We start from the raw sequence: 21,738 nt of genomic DNA on the forward strand, positions 1-21,738 counted from the left end.
ACCCTGTCTCTACTGAAAATACAAAAATTAGCCAGGTATGGTGGTGCATGCCTGTAATCCCATCTACTCAGGAGGCTGAGGAAGGAGAATTGCTTGAACCTGGGAGGCGGAGGTTGCAGTGAGCCAAGATGGCAACACTGCACTCCAGCCTTGGTGAGAGTGAGACTCCGCCTAAAAAAAAGGATACACCTAGTTCGAATTAGTGATATACACATGAATATTTAAATATCAACCAGATAGTACATTATAGAGTAACTGTAGCTGTTTGATCCAAAAAGTAAGTTTAGAATTACATGTGTGTCCAACTATCTGCTTTTATATTCCTTTAGCCTGCATACAGAATTGACATCAATGACCTATGATAGAACCACCAATGAAATGTGAATTATAAAATATATATTCACAAATATTTAAAGAAATATATATGCAGATATACATACTTCTGTCTATCTAGACACACAAACACAGGGAGAGAGAGAAAGGGAGAGAAAGAGAAAGAAACAACAGAGAGAAAGATGAAGATTATGTGCTTACTCTCAGGATCATCCATGTCCATACAGAATGTCTTTTACACTGTTTATAAACCTCCTCACTATAGGCCCTGCAGGCCCCTTATTCAACTTTTTGATTAAATTGGATAAAAAAGGAACAGGGCAAAAGGAAACTTCTTGTTATTGTCTTGTCACCCTTAGTAGCAGGCACATACTTAGGAAAGTCAGATTTCCTGTGTATGAGACATACTAGAGTGGACCAAGGGAAGAAAACCCTATGCAGAGCAACAAGCGAGTAGCAGTGGACAGGGAGCAGTGGGGCCCTCGGGGAAAAAACAGAGCTAATGGCCCTGGCAGGGTTCCTCACACCCAGAGCTCTACCACCATGTGAAGCTAACACTGCAAGCCCACACCCATCATCACATTGTATGGGGCAGTTTCTTGACCCTGTGTGAGAGCAGAGAAGACACCTATAATGGCAAAAACAAGGCACTCATGAAGGGATTTTAGTGTCAGGAAATGAGATGAGGTCAAGGGGATTTGTATATAGAAACTGCAGCTGAATTTGAAATAAAGTAAACCACCAAATGCTTAGTTTGTGCTTCATTCAATTGTAAAGAACTAAACATCGTTTGTGAGTAATTCAAACCGGAAAGTGAAGTGTAGGATGTCATATTGGTGTTGGACGATACATATATATATTTAAATTCTGTAGCACTGCCAAGTCTGAATTCAAATCAGTACCCTGGAATGGAGCTATCAGTGAACTGTGAGACAGAAATAAATCAATATAGAGGCTGGGCACGGTGGCTCACGCCTGTAATCTCTTGACCTCATGATCCACCCACCTTGGCCACCCAAAGTGCTGGGATTACAGGCGTGAGCCACCGCACCTGGGCTCTATCTCTTTATTTTTGAATTGTCATTTAAATTTAGTTTTTGTCTGTCGTGTATAGCATGTAATGCCTTTAATTTCAAAGTTATCTGAGAGTATTTCTCAATATGCAATATGAGAGTAATATGTTTGTATTTATGATTTCTGGTATGTTTGGTTTTATTTATCATCTTTTTCTTTATTAAAAATACTTTGATATTTTCTTTGTAAATTTGTCTGTATTTTGCTATTAATTGATTTGTTTTTATCCCTTGCATTTTTTGTTGATATGCAAGTCAGAAGCCCATTTCTAGTCTATCAATGTTTATATTTAAATGTTTAGAAAACATAATTATACCATTTTATCCATCAATATCGAGAATAAAACTGGACTTGTACCTGTGAAAGATAAGAAATGCAACCTGCCTTTACTTCTATCTTCTTCCACACCTTGAATCCTAGTGTAAGAATGCCTAAAAATTCAAATCAATACTATTATTCATGATTTTATATTATTTATCTTTACTTTTACAATCATTTATTTACATTTTCACCTGCTACATTTTTTTTATTATTATACTGTAAGTTCTAGGGTACATGTGCACAATGTGCAGGTTTGTTACATATTCATGCATGTGCCATGTTGGTGTGCTGTACCCATTAATTCGTCATTTACATTAGGTGTATCTCCTAACGCTATCCCTCCCCCATCCCCCCACCCCATGACAGGCCCTGGTATGTGATGTTCCCCTTCCTGTGTCCAAGGGTTCTCATTGTTCAATTCCCACCTATGAGTGAGAACATGCAGTGTTTGGTTTTCTGACCCTGCAATAGTTTGCTGAGAATGATGGTTTCCAGCTTCATCCATGTCCCTACAAAGGACATGAACTCATCCTTTTTTATGGCTGCTTAGTATTCCATGGTGTATATGTGCCACATTTTCTTAATCCAGTCTATCATTGTTGGACATTTTGGTTGGTTCCAAGTCTTTGCTATTGTGAACAGTGCCGCAATAAACATACGTGTGCATGTGTCTTTATAGCAGCATGATTTATAATCCTTTGGGTATATACCCAGTAATGGGATGGCTGGGTTAAATGGTATTTCTAGTTTTAGATCCTTGAGGAATCGCCACACTGTCTTCCACAATGGTTGAACTAGTTTACAGTCCCACCAACAGTGTAAAAGTGTTCAATTTCTCCACATCCTCTCCAGCACCTGTTGTTTCTTGACTTTTTAATGATCACCATTCTAACTGGTGTGAGATGGTATGTCATTGTGGTTTTGATTTGCATTTCTCTTGTGGCCAGTGATGATGAGCATTTTTTCATTCTTGGCTGCATAAATGTCTTCTTTTGAGAAGTGTCTGTTCATATCCTTTGCCCACTTTTTGATGGGGTTGTTTTTTTTCTTGTAAATTTGTTGGTGTTCTTTGTAGATTCTGGGTATTAGCCCTTTGTCAGATGAGTAGATTGCAAAAATTTTCTCCCATTCTGTAGGTTGCCTGTTCACTCTGATGGTAGTTTCTTTTGCTGTGCAGAAGCTCTTTAGTTTAATTTAGATCCTGTTTGTCAGTTTTGGCTTTTGTTGCCATTGCTTTTGTTCACCTGCTACATTTTTATGCTACATTAACAATTATTATTTAGACTTACCTAATTTTGAGTTTATATTATTTACCATCTTTTCTCTGTAAGTCATCTTCCTTATTTCTATGTTCTTCATTTTGATTCATTGCTCAGCTGACTCAAGCACTTTGAGTAATTGTTTTTAGGAAAGGTACATGGAGGCTGTGCTTCGTGTTGCTTCATGTTGGAGTGTCTGTCTGTTGCTCCCGAGTGTGAACAGTACTTTTCCTGGGTATGGATTTACTGAGTCATAATTATTTCCTTGCAAACTCTGCACATAACTGCTTGAAGCTGCATTTACATAGTACACCTTTTTTAACCAAAAAAGTCTCAATTGTGTATTTACTTGGTATAGTTTCAGGGGACACTGAAACAGATTAAGGGGCTAAAGCCACCCAAGCCACTTCTTCATGCCTTCGTAATCTGTCAGACTTGGTTCTGTATGGTGACATTGTAAAGTGAGTTCAGATTTATGACATTTCCTTGATACCCAGAGATCCAGTAGACTGTGTGGGATCAGAGGTTCTTGTAGTAAGGGAATGGCAACTTGAGGAGAGAATTCACCTCTTTTGGCCAATTGATCCTCCATCTACATCAGCCTTAACTCCCCAAGCCTGGGTGGAGGTGGTGGGTCCAGGTGGAGAGGGGCAGATTAGAAGGATTGGGGATTTCCTTTATCTCAGGTTAACCTAACATCATTCATCAAAGGCCAATTTTTTTTTTTAACTTTTAGGTTTGGAGGTACATGTGAGGTTTGTTACATAGGTAAACTTGTGTCGGGGAGGTTTTTTTTTTTTTTTTTTTTTACATATTATTTCATCATCCAGGTATTAAGCTCAGTACCCAAATAGTTATCTTTTCTGCTTCCCTCTCTCCTCCTGCCCTCCCCACTTAAGTAGACCCCAGTGTCTATTTCCTTCTTTGTGTTCATAAGTCCTTAGGATTTAGCTACCACTGATAGGTGAGAACATTCAGTATTTGGTTTTCTGTTTCTGCACTAGTTTGCTAAGGATAAGAGCCTCCAGCTCCATCGATGTTCCCACAAAATACATGATCTCATTCTTTTTTCATAGCTGCATAGTATTCCATGGTATATATGTACCACATTTTCTTTATCCAATCTGTCATTGATGGGTACCTAGGTTGATTCCATGTCTTTGCTATTTGTAAATAGTGCTGCAGTGAACATTCATATGCATGTATCTTTATAGTAGAATGATTTATATTCCTCTGGGTATCTACTCAGTAATGGGATTGCTCAGTCAAATAGTTTTGCTTTTAGCTCTTCAAGGTATTGCCATACTGCTTTTTACAGTGGTTGAACTAATTTACACTCCCACCAACAATGTATAAGTGTTCCCTTTTCTCTGCAACCTTGCCCGCATCTGTTATTTTTTGACTTTTTAGTAATAGCCATTCTGACTGGTGTGAAATGGTATCTCATTGTGGTTTTGATTTGCATTTCTCTAATCTGTGATATTGAGCTTTTCTTCATATGCTTGGCCACATGCATGTCTTCTTTTGAGAAATGTCTGTTCATGTCAAAGGCCAATTGTCAGTGCCCCAGTTCTGCTCAATATCTGCCCTCTTTCTTCTCCAGTCTTAGGCACAGGCTGTGAGCATTGTCTTAGGATTCATGGCTCTTGGGGTGGAATTTGAGCCCTGTGTTAGAGGCTTCAGTATGACAGAAACTTCCTGAAGTCTTCTCCTACTGAAGCCTCCTGTGTTGGAGGCTTCTCCTCCTGAAGAGCCTCCAACACAGGAGGCTTCAGTAGGACAAAAAAAATTGTTCCTCATGAGCTACCTTGTCTCCAGCCATAAGGTAAAATGAGGCATTATTGGAGGCTCCATCAAACAGGTTCTCCTTCCTTTGATTAATGGAAGGAGCCCAGTCTTTCGGGTGTTTCTCCTTTGAAGTATATCTTACTAAAATGTCTTACCTCTGAAGTTCATTTGCAACCTCATATGCGACTCTTGCTAATGTGTGTCTGTTCACTAGGTGTCTAGTTTGAGGAGATGACAAGAGCATCATTTACTCCCTATGCTCATTCCTGAAACACCTTATTTTATTGCAGTGGAAACTGAGATCTGGCCAAAGTTTGATTTGCCCAGGCTGGCATTAAAATACAGTTCTCTTCTACCACCCTTTTCTGTCTTCATGCTATACTCCTTGAGATGGTGACCACAAGTTTAAGTTTAGTATTGCTGTAAAGTTGGGGTTGGGGCTTTGCATGCAATGGAAATGTTACTAAACATCCAAAGTTTACTGTCTTCTGGATAGCATAGTAAACAAGTAAAATACTCATGGAGCAGGAAGAATAAAATTTTAGCTATTAGTAAAAAGCATTTTGTTATACAACTTCTGAATAATTTTCTTTTAAAATTTATTTATAAGGGCCTTTGTTTTTTGGTTAAATTTACAATGTATGTTAGAAGAAATCTGATTAATTTTATTTTTACTTCTTTTTGCAGCAGCAAGATTAAGAAAATTGTGCATTCAATTATATCATCCTTTGCATTTGGGTATGTGAGACATAGAAAACACCATGTATTAAATATATCTGAGACTTGGCTGGGTGCGGTGGCTCACGCCTGTAATCCCAGCACTCTGGGAGGCCGAGGCGGGCAGATCACATGAAGTCAGGAGTTCAAGACCAGCCTGGCTAACATGGTGAAACCCCATCTCTACTAAAAATACAAAAATTAGCCAAGCATAATGGTGGGTGCCTGTAATCCCAGCTACTCAGGAGGCTGAGGCAGAAGAATTGCTTGAACCGAGGAGGCATAGGTTGCAGTGAGCTGAAATTGCACCATTGCACCGCAGCCTTGGCGACACAGCAAGACTCCATGTAAAAAAAAAAAAAAGAAAAAATATATGAGTCTTATATGTATCTATACATACATATATATATGAGACTTAATACTTCAATGAGAAACACTGAAATAAAATAACAAAAAAGCATTTCCACTGTCCATCAGTTGCTAAGTAGCCATGTGCCCCATCTAATGTAATCTAATTTATCATGGAATTTTGGTTTAAGCTGGACATTAAGAATTGCAAATAAATGGCTTTTGCCTAAGATTAATAGTAACATTAATATTGTTTTTCTTCCATCTGCAGAAGTAACATTAATGAAAATCAAATGTTAAAATTATATAATTATTAGTAAAGTGTTTTATTAGTACCTTATACATCTGGAATTACTCTTTAATTCTGGAAACAATTTACTTAGACTACATAAGAGTAAGATTTCATACTATAATATAGATTTATGCAATATAATTGTTTCCTTCTGAATTAATATTTGAATTTGAGCTGCAAGTTTTTAAAAAAGTACTTCAAAGACTAATTCACCTTCATAGATTAGGCAAATAGTCTAATCAATTTATGGAGAATGTATTTAGAATATGTAACAGCAAGTGGCAGGAGGTACTTTAGAGTTCAAGACTCATGTGCCCATCACTCTGCTAGAAGCACCCATAAATATGAAATCATGTACTTGTTGAAAATGTCACTGATGAAAAATCTTGGTCTTTTAAGAGCTTATGTTACTCATGCTTTCATTTGGTTTTTATTAATAAATTCTTTAGAATTATCCAGATTAATGAGGGTTTATTTTTTATGAGAAATTGGTATAAACTTCTTATGAAATTCTCAAATTTTAAGAAGAGTTTGTAAACAGACACAGGTGATTTTAATTCAGTTTTACTTTTCTCTCTTGAGGTGTTGGTCTGATGTGTCTACTATAAAAGGCCATGATAATATCTTGTGAAGTGGTTTGGTGAGAATTTTGTTTATTAAGAACTGCTTCTATTGGGTGAAAACAGTGATTTTTCTGAGATTCTAAGGCATTACAGTTTTTCCTGCCACTGGGCAGCTTAATACTAAATAATGACATTTTGGTACCTGATCAGTGGCTTAAATATAGTATAGCTATAGGGACAAATGCCCCTTTATCTTTGCATTTATTTATTTATTTATTTATTTATTTGTTTGTTTGTTTGTTTTAGACTATTTGGAGTTTTCCTGGTCTTACTGGATGTCACTCTCGTCCTTGCCGACCTAATTTTCACTGACAGCAAACTTTATATTCCTTCGGAGTATCGTTCTATTTCTCTAGCTATTGCCTTATTTTTTCTCATGGATGTTCTTCTTCGAGTATTTGTAGAAGGGTAAGTTTGATTATTTTTATAATGCATTAAGCTATTTTGTACTTTTATAAGAAGCACTTTGGGAGGCTGAGGTGGGAGGATCCCAAGGTCAGGAGTTCGAGACAATCCTGGCCAACATGGTGAAACCCCGTCTCTACTAAAAATACAAAAATTAGCTGGGTGTGGTGGTGGTTGCCTATAATCCCAGCTGCTTGGGATGCTGAGGCAGGAGAATCTTTTGAACCTGGGAGGCAGAAGTTGCATTGAGCCGAGATCATGCCATTGCACTCTAGCCTGGGTGACAGGGTGAGACTCCATCTCCAAAAAAAAAAAAAAAAAAAAAAATTTAAAATAATTAACAGGAGCATTCACTACAAACTGACTTAAGAGCCTTTGGGCCTTATGAGAACATTGGTGGTGGTCTGGCAGTACCCCCTCCATGGCCTGTGTTTGAGGTGGCCATGGATTGATGCTCCTCTGCCTTTGGACAGGGGTGGAAAGAGTGGGAGGGACTGCATCTTGTGGTTTGAGTGACAGCTCAGCCATAGCACAATAAAACACTAGGTAGACTTTTACAGTTTTTGATCTAGGCCCTGATTCCCAGACAGCACCTTTGGATCCACCTGGAGGCTAGGAGAACTTGCCATCCTGAAGGGAAGGACACAGGCCTGGCTGTTTTTACCATCTGATGACTGTAGAGCCCCAGGGCCTTCAGCAAACTCCTGCAATAGCTAACAAGTGGTTACAGCAGGTCTTGGGCAAGACCCCGTGCTGTGCTGGCCTCAGGTCTGACCCAATGCAGTCACAGTAGTGGTGGCCACACAGGTGCTTATGTCACTCAACCCCAAGCTTTAGGTGCCTCAGAACAGAGAGAGAGACTCTGTTTGTTTGGGAGAAAGCAAGGGAAGAAAACAAGAGTCTCTTTTTGGTAATGCAGAGAATTATCCTGGATCTTGTCCAAGACCATTAAGGCCACTATGAGTCTGCAAGAACCAGAGTTTAGGAGGCTTGGGGTGCCCCCTAAAGCAGATAGAGATTAGATCACAGTATCCAAGTTCTTTCAAATATCTGGAAAGCCTTCCCAAGAACGATGGGCACAAACAAGCCCTGACAGGGAAAACTACAATAAATACAGTGAAAACTACAACCAATACCTAACTCTTCAATGCCCAGACACCAAAGAACATATGCTAGCATCAACACTATCCAAGAAAACATGACCTCACCAAATGAACTAAATAAGACACCAGGGGCCAATCCTGTAGAAACAGAGATATGTGACCTTTCAGACAAATCAAAATAGCTGTGTTGAGGAAACTCAAAGAAATTCAAGATACAACAGAGAAGGAATTCATAATTCTATTAGATAAGTTTAACAAAGAGATTGAAATAATTTAAAAGAATCAAGCAGAAATTCTGGAGCCAAAAAATGTAATTGGCATGCCAAAGAATGCATTAGAGTCTTTTAATGCAGAATTGATAAACCAGAAGAAAGAAAGAATGAGCTTGAAGACAGGCTATTTCAAAATACATAGAGGAGACAAAGGAAAGAATAAAAAACAATGACACATGCCTACAGAATCTAGAAAATAGCCTCAAAAGGACAAATCTAAGTGGTATTGGCCTTAAAGAGGAGGTGGGGAGTGTAGAAAGTGTATTCAAAGGGATAGTAACAGAACGTCCCAAACCTACAGAAAGATATCAATATCCAAGTACAAGAAAGTTATAAAACACCGAGCAGATGTAACTCAAAGAAGACTACCTCAAGGAATTTAATAATCACAGTCCCAAAGATCAAGGATAAAGAAAGGATCTTAAAAGCAGCAAGAGAAAAGAAACCAATAATATACAATGGAGCTACAATATATCTGGCAGGAGACTCTTTAGTAGAAACGTTTCAGGCCAGGAGAGAGTGGCATGACATATTGAAAGTGCTGAAGGAAAAAAACATTTACCCTAGAACAGTGTATCCAGTGAAAATATCCTTCAAAGTGAAGGGGAAATAAAGACTTTTCCACACAAAAGCTGAGGGATTTTGTCAACACCAGACCTGTCCTAGAAGAAATGCTAAAGGGAATATTTCAATCAGGAAAGATAAGGACATTAATGAGCAATAAGTAACAACCTGAAGGTATAAAACTCACTGGTAATAGGTATACAGAAAAATGCAGAATGTTATAACACTGTAACTATGATGTATAAACTACTCTTATTCTAAGTAGAGAGACTAAACTATGAGCCAATCAAAAATACTAACTACAACTTTTCAAGACATAGATGGTATAATACGATATAAATAGAAATAACAAAAAGTTAAAAAATAGGGAGACAAAGTTAAGTTGTAGAGTTTTTATTTTCTTTTTACTTGTTTATGAACACTTAGTATAAGATTAAAATAATGGATTATAAGATAGTATTTACAAGCCTCATGGTAACCTCAAACCAAAAAACATAACAATGGATACATGAAAAATAAAAAACAAGAAACTAAATCATATCACCAGAGAAAATTACCTTCACTAATGAAAGACAGGAAGGAAAGAAGGAGGAGAAGACCCCAAAACAACCAGAAAACAAATAACAAAATGGCAGGAGTAACTCCTTACTTATCCCAACCTTATGTCCAAGGGTACTTGTTGTTTAGCTCTCATAGGTGAGAATATGTGGTATTTGGTTTTCTGGTCCTGCATTAATTTGCTTAGGATAATGGCCTCCAGCTCCATCTATGTTGCTGCAAAAGACCTGATTTCACTCATATTTATGGCTGTGTAGAATTCCATCGTGTATATGTACCACATTTTCTTTATCCAATCCACCACTGATGGGCACCTAGGTTGATTCCATATCTTTACTATTGTGAATAGCACAGCAATGAACATATCAGTGTGTGTGTCTTTTGGTAGAATGGTCTTTTTCCCATTGGGTATATATCCAATAGTGGGATTACTGGGTCGAATGGTAGCTCGTTTTAAGTTCTTTGAGACATCTCCAGACTGCTTTCCACAGTGGCTGAACTAATTTACACTCCCATCAACAATGTATAAATGTTCCCTTTTCTCTGCAGCCTTGCCAGCATCTGTTGTTTTTGACTTTTTATCAATCGCCATTCTGACTAGTGTGAGAGGGTATCTCATTGTGGTTTTGATTTGCACTTCTCTGACAATTCGTGAAGTGAAGCATTTTTCCAGATGCTCATTGGTCACTTGTATGTCTTCTTTTGAGAAGTATGTGTCATGTTCTTTCCACATTTTTAATGGGGTTATTTGGTTTCTGCATGTGGATTTGTGTAAGTTCCTTATAGATTCTGGATATTAGACCTTTGTTGGATACATAGTTTGCAAATGTTTCCTCCTGTTCTCTGGGTTATCTGTTTGCTCTGTCGATCATTTCTCTTGCTGTGCCAAAGCGCTTTAGCTTTATTAGGTCCCACTTGTCAATCTTTGTTGTTATAGCAATTGCTTTTGGGGACTTAGTTAAAAATTCTTTCCCAAGGCCAATGTCAAGAAGGGTATTTCTGAGGTTTTCTTCTAGGACTTTTATCACTGGAGGTCTAACATTTAAATCTTTAATCTATCTCCAGTTAATTTTTGTATATGATGAAAGGTATGGGTCGAGTATCATTATTCTGCATATTGCTAGCCAGTTACCCCAACACCATTTATTGAATAGGGAGTCCTTCCCCCGTTGCTTGTTTTTGTCAGCCTTGCAATATCAGGTGGTTTTAAGTGTAAGGCTTTATTCTGGGTTTTCTATTCTGTTCCTTTGGTCTATATGTCTGCTTTTGTACCAGTACCATGCTGTTTTGGATACTGTAGCCTTATAGTTTGAAGCCTCTGGCTTTGCCCTTTTGCTTAGATTTGCTTAGGCTGTTGAGGCCCTCTTTTGGTTTCATATGACTTCTAGAATACTTTTTTCTAATTCTGTGAAGAACGACATTGGTAGTTTGATAGAAATAGCACTGAATCTGTCAATTGCTTTGGGCAGTGTGGCCATTTGAATGATACTGATTCTTCCAATCCATGAGCATGGAATGTTTTTCCATTTAATTGTGTTATCTCTGATTTCTTTCCGCAGTGTTTTATAGTTCTTGTAGAGATCTTTCACATCCTTTGTTAGTTGTATTCCTAGTTATTTCATTTTCCTTGTCGCTACCATAAATGGGATTCTGTTCTTGATTTAACTCTCAGCCTGGACATTATTGGTGTATAGAAATGCTGTTGATTTTTATACATTGATTTTTTATCCTGAAACTTTGTTAAAGTTATTAGTTCTAGTAGCCTTTTGGCAGAGTCTTTGCTTTTCTGGATATAGAATCATGTCATCAGTGAAGAGAAATAATTTGACTTCTTCTTTTGCTATTTAGATGCCTATTCTTTCTTTCTCCTGCTTGAGTTCTCTAGGTAGGACTTCCAGTGCTATGTTGAATAGGAGTGATGAGAGTCAGCATCATTGTCTTGCTCCATTTCTCATGGGGATTGGTTCCAACTTGTGCCCATTCAGTAGGTTGGTGGCTGTGAGTTTGTCGTAGATGGCTCCTATTATTTTGAGGTATGTTCCCTTGATGCCGAGTCTGTTGAGGTTTTTAATGTGAAGGGATGTTGGATTTTATCAGAAGTTGTTTCTGCATCTATTCAGATGATGATATGATTTTTCTTTTAGTTCTGTTTATGTGGTGAATCACATTTAGTGATTTGGGTATGTTGAACCAGCCTTGCATCCCTGTACTGAAGCCTTGATTGTGGTGGATTAACTTACTGATGTGCTGCTGGATTCTGTTTCCTAGTATTTGGTTGAGAATTTTTGTGTCTATGTTAATCAGAGTAATTGGCCTGAAGTTTTCTTTTTGTGTGTTTCTCTGCCAGATTTTGGTATTAGGCTGATGCTGGCTTCATAGACTGAGTTAGGGAGGAGCCCCTCATCCTCAGTTCTTTGGAATAGTTTCAATAGAACTAGTACCAGTTCTTTTGTACATCTGGTAGAATTCAGCTGTTGCTTCATCTGGTCCAGGGCTTTTCCTTGTTGGTAGATTTTACATTAATGATTTGATTTTGGAACTCGGTATTTGTCTAAGGTTTCAATCTCTTTCTATTTCAATCTTGGGAGATTGTATGTTTCCAGGAATTTCTCCATTTCCTCTAGATTATCTAATTTGTGTGCATAGAGTTGTTTATAGTATTCTCTGAGGATCTTTTGTATTTCTGTGGGATTGTTTGTAATGTCATCTTTGTCATTTATGATTGTACTTATTTGGCTCTTCTCTTTTTTTCTTTGTTTAGCTATCAGGCTATCCATCTTGTTTATTTTTTGAAAAACTAATTATTGGTTTCATTGATCTTTTGTGTGGATTTTTGCATCTAGTCTAAAAAAAACAGCACTTCAAAAAGCACTTCATTCAGTGCTTCTCTAATTTTAGTTATTTCTCTTCTGCCAGCTTTGGAGTTAGTTTATTCTTTTTTTCTAGTTCCCTTAAGTGCAAAGTAGGAAAGTTAATTTGAGATATTTCTAACTTCTTGATGAAGGCATTTCGTGCTGTAAACTTTCCTCTTAACACTGCCTTAGCTGCATCCCAGAGATTCTGGTATGTTGTGTCCCTATTTTCATTAATTGCAAAGAATTTTTTTATTTCTGCCTTAATTTAGATTTTCACCCAGGAGTTATTCAGGAGCAAATTATGTAATTACCATGTATTTATGTAGTTTTGAGAGATCTTCTTGATACTGATTTCTATTTTTGTCTCACTGTGGTCAGAGTGTGTGCTTGGTATGATTTCAAACTTTTTGAATTTATTGAGGCTTGCTTTATGGCCAAGCATGTGCTTGATCTTAGAATATGTTCTGTGTGCACATAAGAATGTATCTTCTGTGTTTGTTGGTCAAAGCGTTCTGTAGATGTCTATCAGGTCCAATTGGTCAACTGTCAAGTGCAAGTACAGAGTTTGTTAGTTTTCTGCCTCAATGATCTGTCTATTGCTGTCAGTGGGTTGTTGAAGTCTCCTGCTGCTATTGTGTGTCTAAATCTTTTTGTAGGCCAAGAAAAACTTGTTTTATGAATTTGGGTGCTCCAATGTTGGGTGTGTACATATTTAGGCTAGGTCTTCTGGTTGAATTGTGTCCTTTATCATTCTATAAGGAATGCTCTTCTTTGTCCTTAATTTTTATTCGTTAAAAATATGTTTTATTTGGCCAGGCGCAGTGGCTCATGCCTGTAATCCCAGCACTTTGGGAGGCCGAGGCGGGTGGATCACGAGGTCAGGAGTTCGAGGCCAGCCTGACCAACATGGTGAAACCCTGTCTGTACTAAAAATACAAAAATTAGCCAGGTGTGGTAGAGCACCCCTGTAATCCCACTTACTCGGGAGGCTGAGGCAGGAGAATTGCTTGAACCCAGGAAGCAGAGGTTGCAGTGAGCCGAGACTGCACCACTGCACTTCAGACTGGCAAGAGACTGAGACTCCATATTAAAAAAAAAAAAATCAACCACTTAGAATAGTAACACACATTAAGCAGATCATACATCTAGAATGGGTTAAGCAACCATTTGTAAGCATCTTCATAAGAAATGATCACCTCTGGGTTTTTCTGGTAATATTTGAAATAAACATGGAACCAAACTGTATTTCCCTCAGCACATAACTGTCCAAATTGCATGTGCAAGTAGAGGTTTATGTAAAAGCCCTGACAGAACTGTACTCAGTCTTTTGAATTAGATGCATAAGGCTACTGACCACTCTCTATTTTACCAAGGGAAAGAGCAGTGACTTCTCTATTTCAGTACAATTATGGGCAGAAATGACATGATGCAAAATAGAGGTTCTTCCGTACAATTTAAGATGTAGGGTATAAGGGAAGACGAAAAAGCAAAATTCCCAAGAAATCAGAATAACTTCACACTGGTCTTGTACTACAAGAAACCCTGAGATGAACTGTAGTCCTCAAACACCTGTGCTTGGCTCAGGCCCTCCAAGACACTTCAGTGTGCTTCCAACTGGCTCATAATCAACTTCCTGGTATATTCGTAGGCCAAAAAGAGTGCTCCATTGTCAGGGAATGCTCGAATCATAGTAGGTTTCAGTCCAGAATATAAGGCCATTATTCCTAGAAGACAAAAGGGCAAGTAAAGACTGCAACAGTCCCTCCTTTGGGGACACCCACACAACTGCATAGCACAGGTATATTTACACATGCAAATCCAGACAAGTGTGCTAAAAACCAACAAGTCATGGAAGGACGCATTCCCAGCTTTCCCTAAATAGACCAACAGAAACAAGGACAAGTATCAGGTCTCCTGGCGAAACTGACTGATGCTCAGGTAACATACCCCAATTCCATGCTTGGTTAACTCTTAGTACACGGATGGGTCAGCGTTGAGGCCTGAGATGGCCAGACAGATGCAACCATGGAGACAGAGGTGGCCACAGCTTTGCAGCTTCACCTGGGCAGTGGCAAGAGCACCAACCTTGAGGTTGGAGACTGGTTTATAATATTAGTACTGCCCAGGGTGGTTATGAAGATTGAATTAGATAAGGGAGGTATAAGTACTTTGTAAAACTTCACGTTATACAAATTTAAGGGAGGATTACTATGAGTAATAGACAAGTTATCTGTGCTCTATTTGGGACACAAAGTTGCTGTGTTACTGTTCTCTTTCCTTTTACAATCAAAACAGAGCAGTTCACATCTCAGATTTTAAGATGTATACTAGATGCTGGAAAAACAGGTGTTTATTCACCTTCATTTTTCACAACATTTATAAAGGTTCTGATAAATCCTGCCGGTTTTCCAGACATGGAAAGAACTTGAATTCTGGATTTGATACAATCCACTGGATATACCGCAAGCCATAGGCAAATCCCGCCAACTCCCTCCACCACTTAACATCAAAGGGACAGGGCCTAGAGAAAAAAAAAATAGCAAATGGTATTTTATCTCAAGAACAGCTGATGTGACATTTCCAGAGGTCAATGTAGTAATGGCTGCAGGTAGGTGCAAATAGAAATGCTAATGCTGCAGAAGAGTTCTTTGTGGAAACTGTCAAAGCTCTTGTTCCCAGGCTCTAAGAACACAAGGTTTTGTTTGGTAGCCCAGGTCTACGCCTGGGTCTTGCCAAGTACAAGAAGCTCTAGTGAGGGTTGTATTTTGTTTGGTCACTGAGGTGTCGAGGGCTGGCCCACATGAACCAGCAGGCCTCCAGCTGAGTGGCAACCCCTTACGGTGGGGAGAAGACAGGCCAAACACAATCTACGTCTTTTTTTCTTTTTTCAACTTTCTCATTCTTAAGCATTTTAATAGCCCCGATTCTTCCTTTACCATGTTTTTATTAAACATAGCAGTTAAGTCTGGGAGCTTGTCTAATCCCAGAATAGATTCAAAATGCTGAGGGAGATGGTAAGAACAGGTAAATGCATTTGCATTCACAGCAGTGGGGTGTGATGGTGTTTGCTCCCTGCAGGTATGGTTTCTGTGGATTCTCTGCTCTTTGTGCTCTCCTCCCCACATTGGTGGCTCCACCTGGCACAGGGAAGCTTCTGGATTCCAGAAGGTAACATGTTGGCAGGCAGTTGATAGCACCCCACCCTCCAGGCTTGATAATTTCCTTAGGACAGGGGCTGAAGCAGTACATCCCAAACTTTCTTACTGGAATAAGGTTTGTTAATTTTTCTAGATCTATTTTAGAAGAGAAGAAATTCAGAAATGACTTTCCCAGTTGGGGAATCACCTATAAATAATCTTGAAAAAGCTTAAAACTTGGTAATCTCAGTAGCGTTTTGAGAGTAGCGAAAACCATAGTTCTTTGTAGCTTATCATGTTTAGTTGGTTGGTACCACTGCATGCGATGTTTGCCTCACATAAGTGAGTTTTTCTTCCCTGATTTTGTCCTTTGCTAAGGAAACTGAACTGAACTGAAGTCCAGGTCTTCTGTAATAGAGTGTCTCTCCTTCAACAGGGAACAACACTACAGTCGCCCGTAGTTTTGTTTCTGTTCAGTCTCCATTGTGGCATGCCACACTCTCCTGGTTTGGGCCCTGCTCATTTCTTTACTGCCTTCCTGCCTGCCCTTTTTGTGCAGGTAGGTCATCCCATTCATGCTCAGCCCTCCTCGCTGTCTACACTGTCTTCTTGGGCAATCGTATCCAGTCCCAAGCCTTTTAAAAAAACAAGCTATACCCATCCTGGTGGAATTCCTGCCTATAAAAGGGCGCACCTTCAGACCTCCAGGCATGTCCAGCGAACACTGCTATGCACACGGAACCAAATTCAGTTGTGTGGGACCTGCAGCTGCAATTGGGTTTCCAACTTCCATTGCTGATGATCAAGTTAAAATACGAATGTGCTGGATTAAATGCTTTATTCAGCTTATCTGCATCTAGGTTATCTAAATTACACACCCACTTAAAACATTCTGTCACCTCTTCTCTTGGAATAATTAATTATTTTAATGTAATTCAGATCTCATTTTATCCTAGCCCAGCAGTACCTGGGAGAGAATGACTCAATCATAGTAAAATCATATTAAATTATATTCCACTGATTCAGAATTGGAGATAATCTGGCAATTAAAGTGAGAAGTGTGTCATTCCTCTCCTGGAAGAAATGAACAGTAATGATGGGATCACAGAGATCATACATATAAGGGCCCAATACAGGTTCAAAACATGCCCATCGGCAACTGCCTTACATACCTGGCTCCCAACCATACTGTTACAATTTCTATCTTTCAAACTCACTGTAAATTACAAATGTGGTACCCAAATACCTGTATGCACATAAATATGAAAAGGTAAACTCTTTTTTTTTTTTTTTTTTTTAGGTGGATTCTTGCTCTGTCACCCAGGCTGGAGCGTAATGGCACAATCTTCGCTCACTTCAACCTCTGCCTTCTGGGTTCGAGCAATTCTCCTGCCTCAGCCTCCTGAGTAACTGGGATTACAGGCGTGTACCACCACATCTGGCTAATTTTTGTATTTTTAGTAGGGACGGTGTTTTACCATATTGGCCAGGCTGGTCTTGAGCTCCTGAACTCAAGTGATCCACTCGCCTCAGCCTCCCAAAGTGCTGAGATTACAGGCTTGAGCAACCTTGCCCAGCCAAAAGTAAACTTTTTAATTCCATCACAATATGTTCTAGATCTTTGACAGACTGAAAGACATAGAATGTCAAAAGGTGAGACTCTCTCATGTGGCTAAACACCCTCCTACTGCAGATACAGAACTGAGCCCAAGAGCATTCACATGCTGGTGAGAGGTGGTGGCCAGGGGCAGGCAGATGGTTGCACCACTCTCAGGGTCAGCATCCTCCCCAGTGTGGCATGGGGGAGGGGAGGGGAGGGGGCACGGGGCCTGGGAGGCTGTAGCCTAAAGGCACGCAGCGGGCAAGAGACTACTGGGCGGACCCCTGCCAGCCTTCAGTTCCATGAGCGTCTGGTGCCAGGACGCTCCTTGTGGGCTCTGCCCTGGGAGAAGTGCCCTTGCCCAGTGCTCCTTCTCGGTGTCTGTGACGTGCTGTCTCCAGTCCTCCTCATTAGCATACCTTGGCCGACCTTTGGCTCATGGAAAAACACTTTGCTCTTCTCGGAACAATTTCTTTTTCACAACTGAGCAAATGACTGATGAGGTGACCACACTCATGACCATACTCATCTGTTGGTGGTGGGTGGGGGGTGGACTGGATGAGGACAGCATTGGGCAACACTCTTTCTGGCCTCCCCACTGCAGGGAGCCACAATTACTGTGGGAGGCCAGGGTAGTCCAGGGTTTCCCTTTGGGCCATCAGCATTCCAACTGCTCCTCCTACTTCTGGCCTCTGGAGAACTAAATTACCACCATGCACTTCCCATTCCACCTGTGCCTCAGCCCGAGGGTCCTGCTCTTCCTGCATATTCAAGCTGATCTTTCTAGGGAGTAGCCTGCACTGTGCCAGCACTACCCCCTTGTCACAGGCAGCACCTCCCTGTGCTGGGGGAGCCTCAGTCTGCCCTTGGGCTCAGGCCCCTAGGCTCAGGTTAGCTGACATTCCCAGGAAATCCTACAACTTCTCCTTTCCTTTCATGGCTGTAAGACACAGTCCACTATCAGTCTCATTGTAAAAGACATTTCTAAAGAGTGTCCTCCTTTCTTTCCCAACACTAGCAGGGACAGTAAGTGATGTTTCCTGGGAGATGCTATGGTGTTATTTTTGCACTACAAGGGCTCTGAAGACTGCCAGGCTTGAAATGAAGAACGATGTCACCTGCCTATCACAGCCAGGTGACAATGGACAAGGGGCTTCACCTCTGAGCTGTTTTCCAGCTGCACTGGGCACATTCCTCCCCTCACCCTGACTCACAAGGTGTTAGCAATAATGGACACTTCTCTACCTTCTGCCACACTCTGAACAATGCCACACTTCCATCAAATGGATTCATCCCAAAGGTAAAGCCCATCACTTCTAGAGGGAGAAAGGTAATGTTTTCCTACCACTTTTATTTGATCTCATTTAGAAGGTACTTGAGGAATAGAGAAGACTGGGTTTTCTCTGGGATTATACTTAGGCATTTCTTAACGACTGGGACATGTTCTGAAAAATCTGTCATTACACAATTTCATCATTGTGCTATCATAGAGCATACACACCCGACCCTAGATGGCATAGCCTACTCCACACCTAGGCTGTACAGTATGGCCTGTTGCTCAAGGCTACACACCTGTACAGCATGTTACTGTACTGGATACTGTAGGCAACTGTAACACAGTGGTATTTGTGTATCTAAACGTATATAAACACAGAAAAGGTATAGTAAAAGATGGTATAATTTCATGGGACCACCATCCGATACACCATCCATCACCAACAGAAACATGGTTATGAGGCACAGGACTGTAACTGCAGCCCCTGCCATGAGGTCAATGGCAGCCTGGATAGGGGGATTGGACTTCATGTTTGCCCACTCTTCTGGTCTCATGGAAGGCAGCTCTCTGGAGCTTATGACAGGCACCACATATCCCTGGGGGGAGGCAAGAGTTCACCATTAGTCCAAGTCTGCAGCCTCCCATTCTCTAGGCCTGCAGCCAAATTACTGGACCTAAACTTCTGGGAGCCATGAACTGGGCTCTACATTGTTCCAAAGGAAAGGGGCTCAAGGAATCAGTGCAGCTTAGCAATTGTCCCTTAGAAAGCTCACAGATCAAAAACCTCCCCTGCGTATCAATTCTACAGCCACCAGCAGCACTTCAACTGACCTTTCTGAAAACTGAAAAAATGAACACCAAATAAGTCAACCACAGATGTACTAACCCACATCAGGCTTGCTTTTTTAGAGGCCTGCGCTGAGCCATCAACTGAACAGGCTCACTTCTAAATCAGAAAGCAGCCTGTGCTGCGTGCCTAAGGGAACGTCACAAGACAGTAGGTCTGGAAAGAAGCACCCAGGCAGCCAAGGGTGGGAGCTGCACCCCAGGATCACAAACGCCTTGGTGAATGCCTGCTCTACCTGCAGTGTGGCCCCTTTGGCCTCTACAGCTGGAAGTCTTCATCTGTACAAAGTGAATAATAAAAATATTATAAAACAAAGGCAGTCACAAATAGCCACATTGGTGTTGAGGTGATCAAACCCAACACCAGGCCATGGGGGCTACAAAGTCCGGCAGAGTCAAAGGAATGAGACAAGCTAATAGTACACAAAGTGGGTCCAGGGGGCCAATGCTAGTATAGAGGCTGTGAAGGCCCTGAACTCTGGGAGCCCACACCATTTATTGGAGATTAAACAAAGAAGCAGGTGGTGAGGACGTGCTGGTCAAAAGGAAGCAGTCACATCAAGTGTTTAGTTTATAGCTGTGTCGGTCTAGCATTTTCTTTGAAGCATATGGAACATGTTCTGCTACTCGAGATAATGAACATTTCCTTCTGCCTCAAGGTACAATCAGTTTATGATCCTGGGAGAGCAAGAAGCAAGGAGCCAGCAAGTCTGGACACATTCCAGAGGCCACGAGGGGTTTTATGTCCTGAGTCCTGGATTCCATCCAAGCCATGAGGGGTTTTATGCCCTAGGCTTAGGTTGTAGTGCGGCGGGGCAGCCTTCCACCCTTAAGCACAGAACCTGGTGTTCCATAGGCCACAAGAAGTTTTAAACTCTGGACCCAGGACATGTTCCAAGGCTCTTTTCATATTATGTCAGACTAGCAAGTCTTGCCTCAGCTTTTCTCCCAACAATTGGACTGATGGGTTGCTCCACTGGGCACAAGCATCATGGGTTCTTAAAACAAGGCCCTGAACAAGCACCAAATATGTTCCTGTCACCACACTCCACTAGCCCTTCAACTATAAACATGCATAGGAGTCACCTGGGGGCCTTGCTAAATAAAATGCAGCTTCTGATTCAATAGTCTCAAACAGGACCAGAGATTCTGCGTCTCTTGTTGAGTTCCCGAGTGAGGCAGACAATGCCAGTCCACAGACTCACATTTTGAGATACAGCACCTGGGCCATTGTGTTCCAATGTGCTTGATAACCTGGAGCACCTATTAAATATCCAAGTTGCCAGGACTTTCTTCTGGAAATCTTAATTCAGTATGTTTTGTTTGGAGCCTTGGACGTTTGGGAAAACTAGAATTTCTTTCTCTCCCTTTAGACAAAAGTCAACTACTGCTGAGGCATGGGCTTAATAAATGTTGACTAAAATATCCAACTCAACAACCAATCCTGTATAATTTTCAAACTCTGTCAATAACTTGCTGGGTCCAACCTGCAGACCCTGGCTGCGTGATGGATGAAGAAATGCACTCAGACACAGGTATCCTGTGAAAGAATGGGGTAGGGGACTGGGCAGCTCCCAGACACTGAGGAGGGTGCTATAAAGAGTCAGCAGGTGCTATAAAGAGTCACCAGGCACAGCCCTGTCAGGCTGGGGCTCCAGGCATTTATTCAGTACAGATTTAATGACAAAGTTCTCAAGTAAACACCACACCACTAGAGGGTAATTAACATTGCTGACCTCCTGAGTAGAGAGCAGTCATGCGCCCGCAAATGATCAAAGGTCTGTTTTAGGACCACATGAGTAAACAAGCTATTTAGATAAACTTCTCTACATTCCTATGTATCTACGCCCTAAGCTTTTAAGAGAATTCAGCTGCCTTCAGCCAAATCTTTTACTGAAGGTATGCAAACCTCCCAGCCTTCCAAGAAGTTTTGTGTCTATCTCCTACAACTTAATTTTTATAATTTCTCCCACCACCCTGACAGATCCCCTACAAAAGACCATGTTTCTTCTCAGCTTGCTCAGTCCAGCTGAGCCAGCTTTCCACTGGACTCCTGAATGTGAGAAGGACACAGGCTCCCAGGACCATCCAGAAGCATCTCTCATCACCTTAAAGCTCTGAAACACTGGCTGGGTGCAGAGGCTCACACAAGTAATCCCAACACATTAAGAGGCTGAGGTGGGAGGATTGCTTGAGGCCAGGAATTCAAGACCAGCCTAGGCAGCATAGCAAGACCCCATCTCTACAAAAAGTACACCCCAAAATTACCTGGGTGTGGTGGCACATGCCTATAGTCTCAATTAGGAGGCTGAGGTGGGACTATTCTTTGATCCCAGGAGTTTGAGGCTGCAGTGGGGTATGATCGCA

General features: G+C 40.8%; 2 pseudogenes across 1 annotated transcript in view; one reads left to right on the forward strand and one right to left on the reverse strand.

Annotated features, from left to right (window-relative positions):
• The window catches only part of TPTEP1 (TPTE pseudogene 1), a 46,920-nt pseudogene extending 29,667 nt beyond the window's left edge, over window positions 1-17,253 (forward strand). The window contains 5 exon segments of the transcript NR_001591.1: window positions 5,463-5,513; window positions 7,002-7,163; window positions 15,591-15,680; window positions 16,086-16,208; window positions 16,950-17,253. The product of NR_001591.1 is annotated as a TPTE pseudogene 1 (transcript).
• SLC25A15P5 (solute carrier family 25 member 15 pseudogene 5) lies at window positions 13,915-15,036 on the reverse strand (annotated as a pseudogene).
• Window positions 17,254-21,738: the final 4,485 nt, after the last annotated feature.

The sequence above is a fragment of the Homo sapiens genome, chromosome 22 (assembly GCF_000001405.40).
Source record: "Homo sapiens chromosome 22, GRCh38.p14 Primary Assembly".
NCBI lineage: Eukaryota > Metazoa > Chordata > Mammalia > Primates > Hominidae > Homo > Homo sapiens.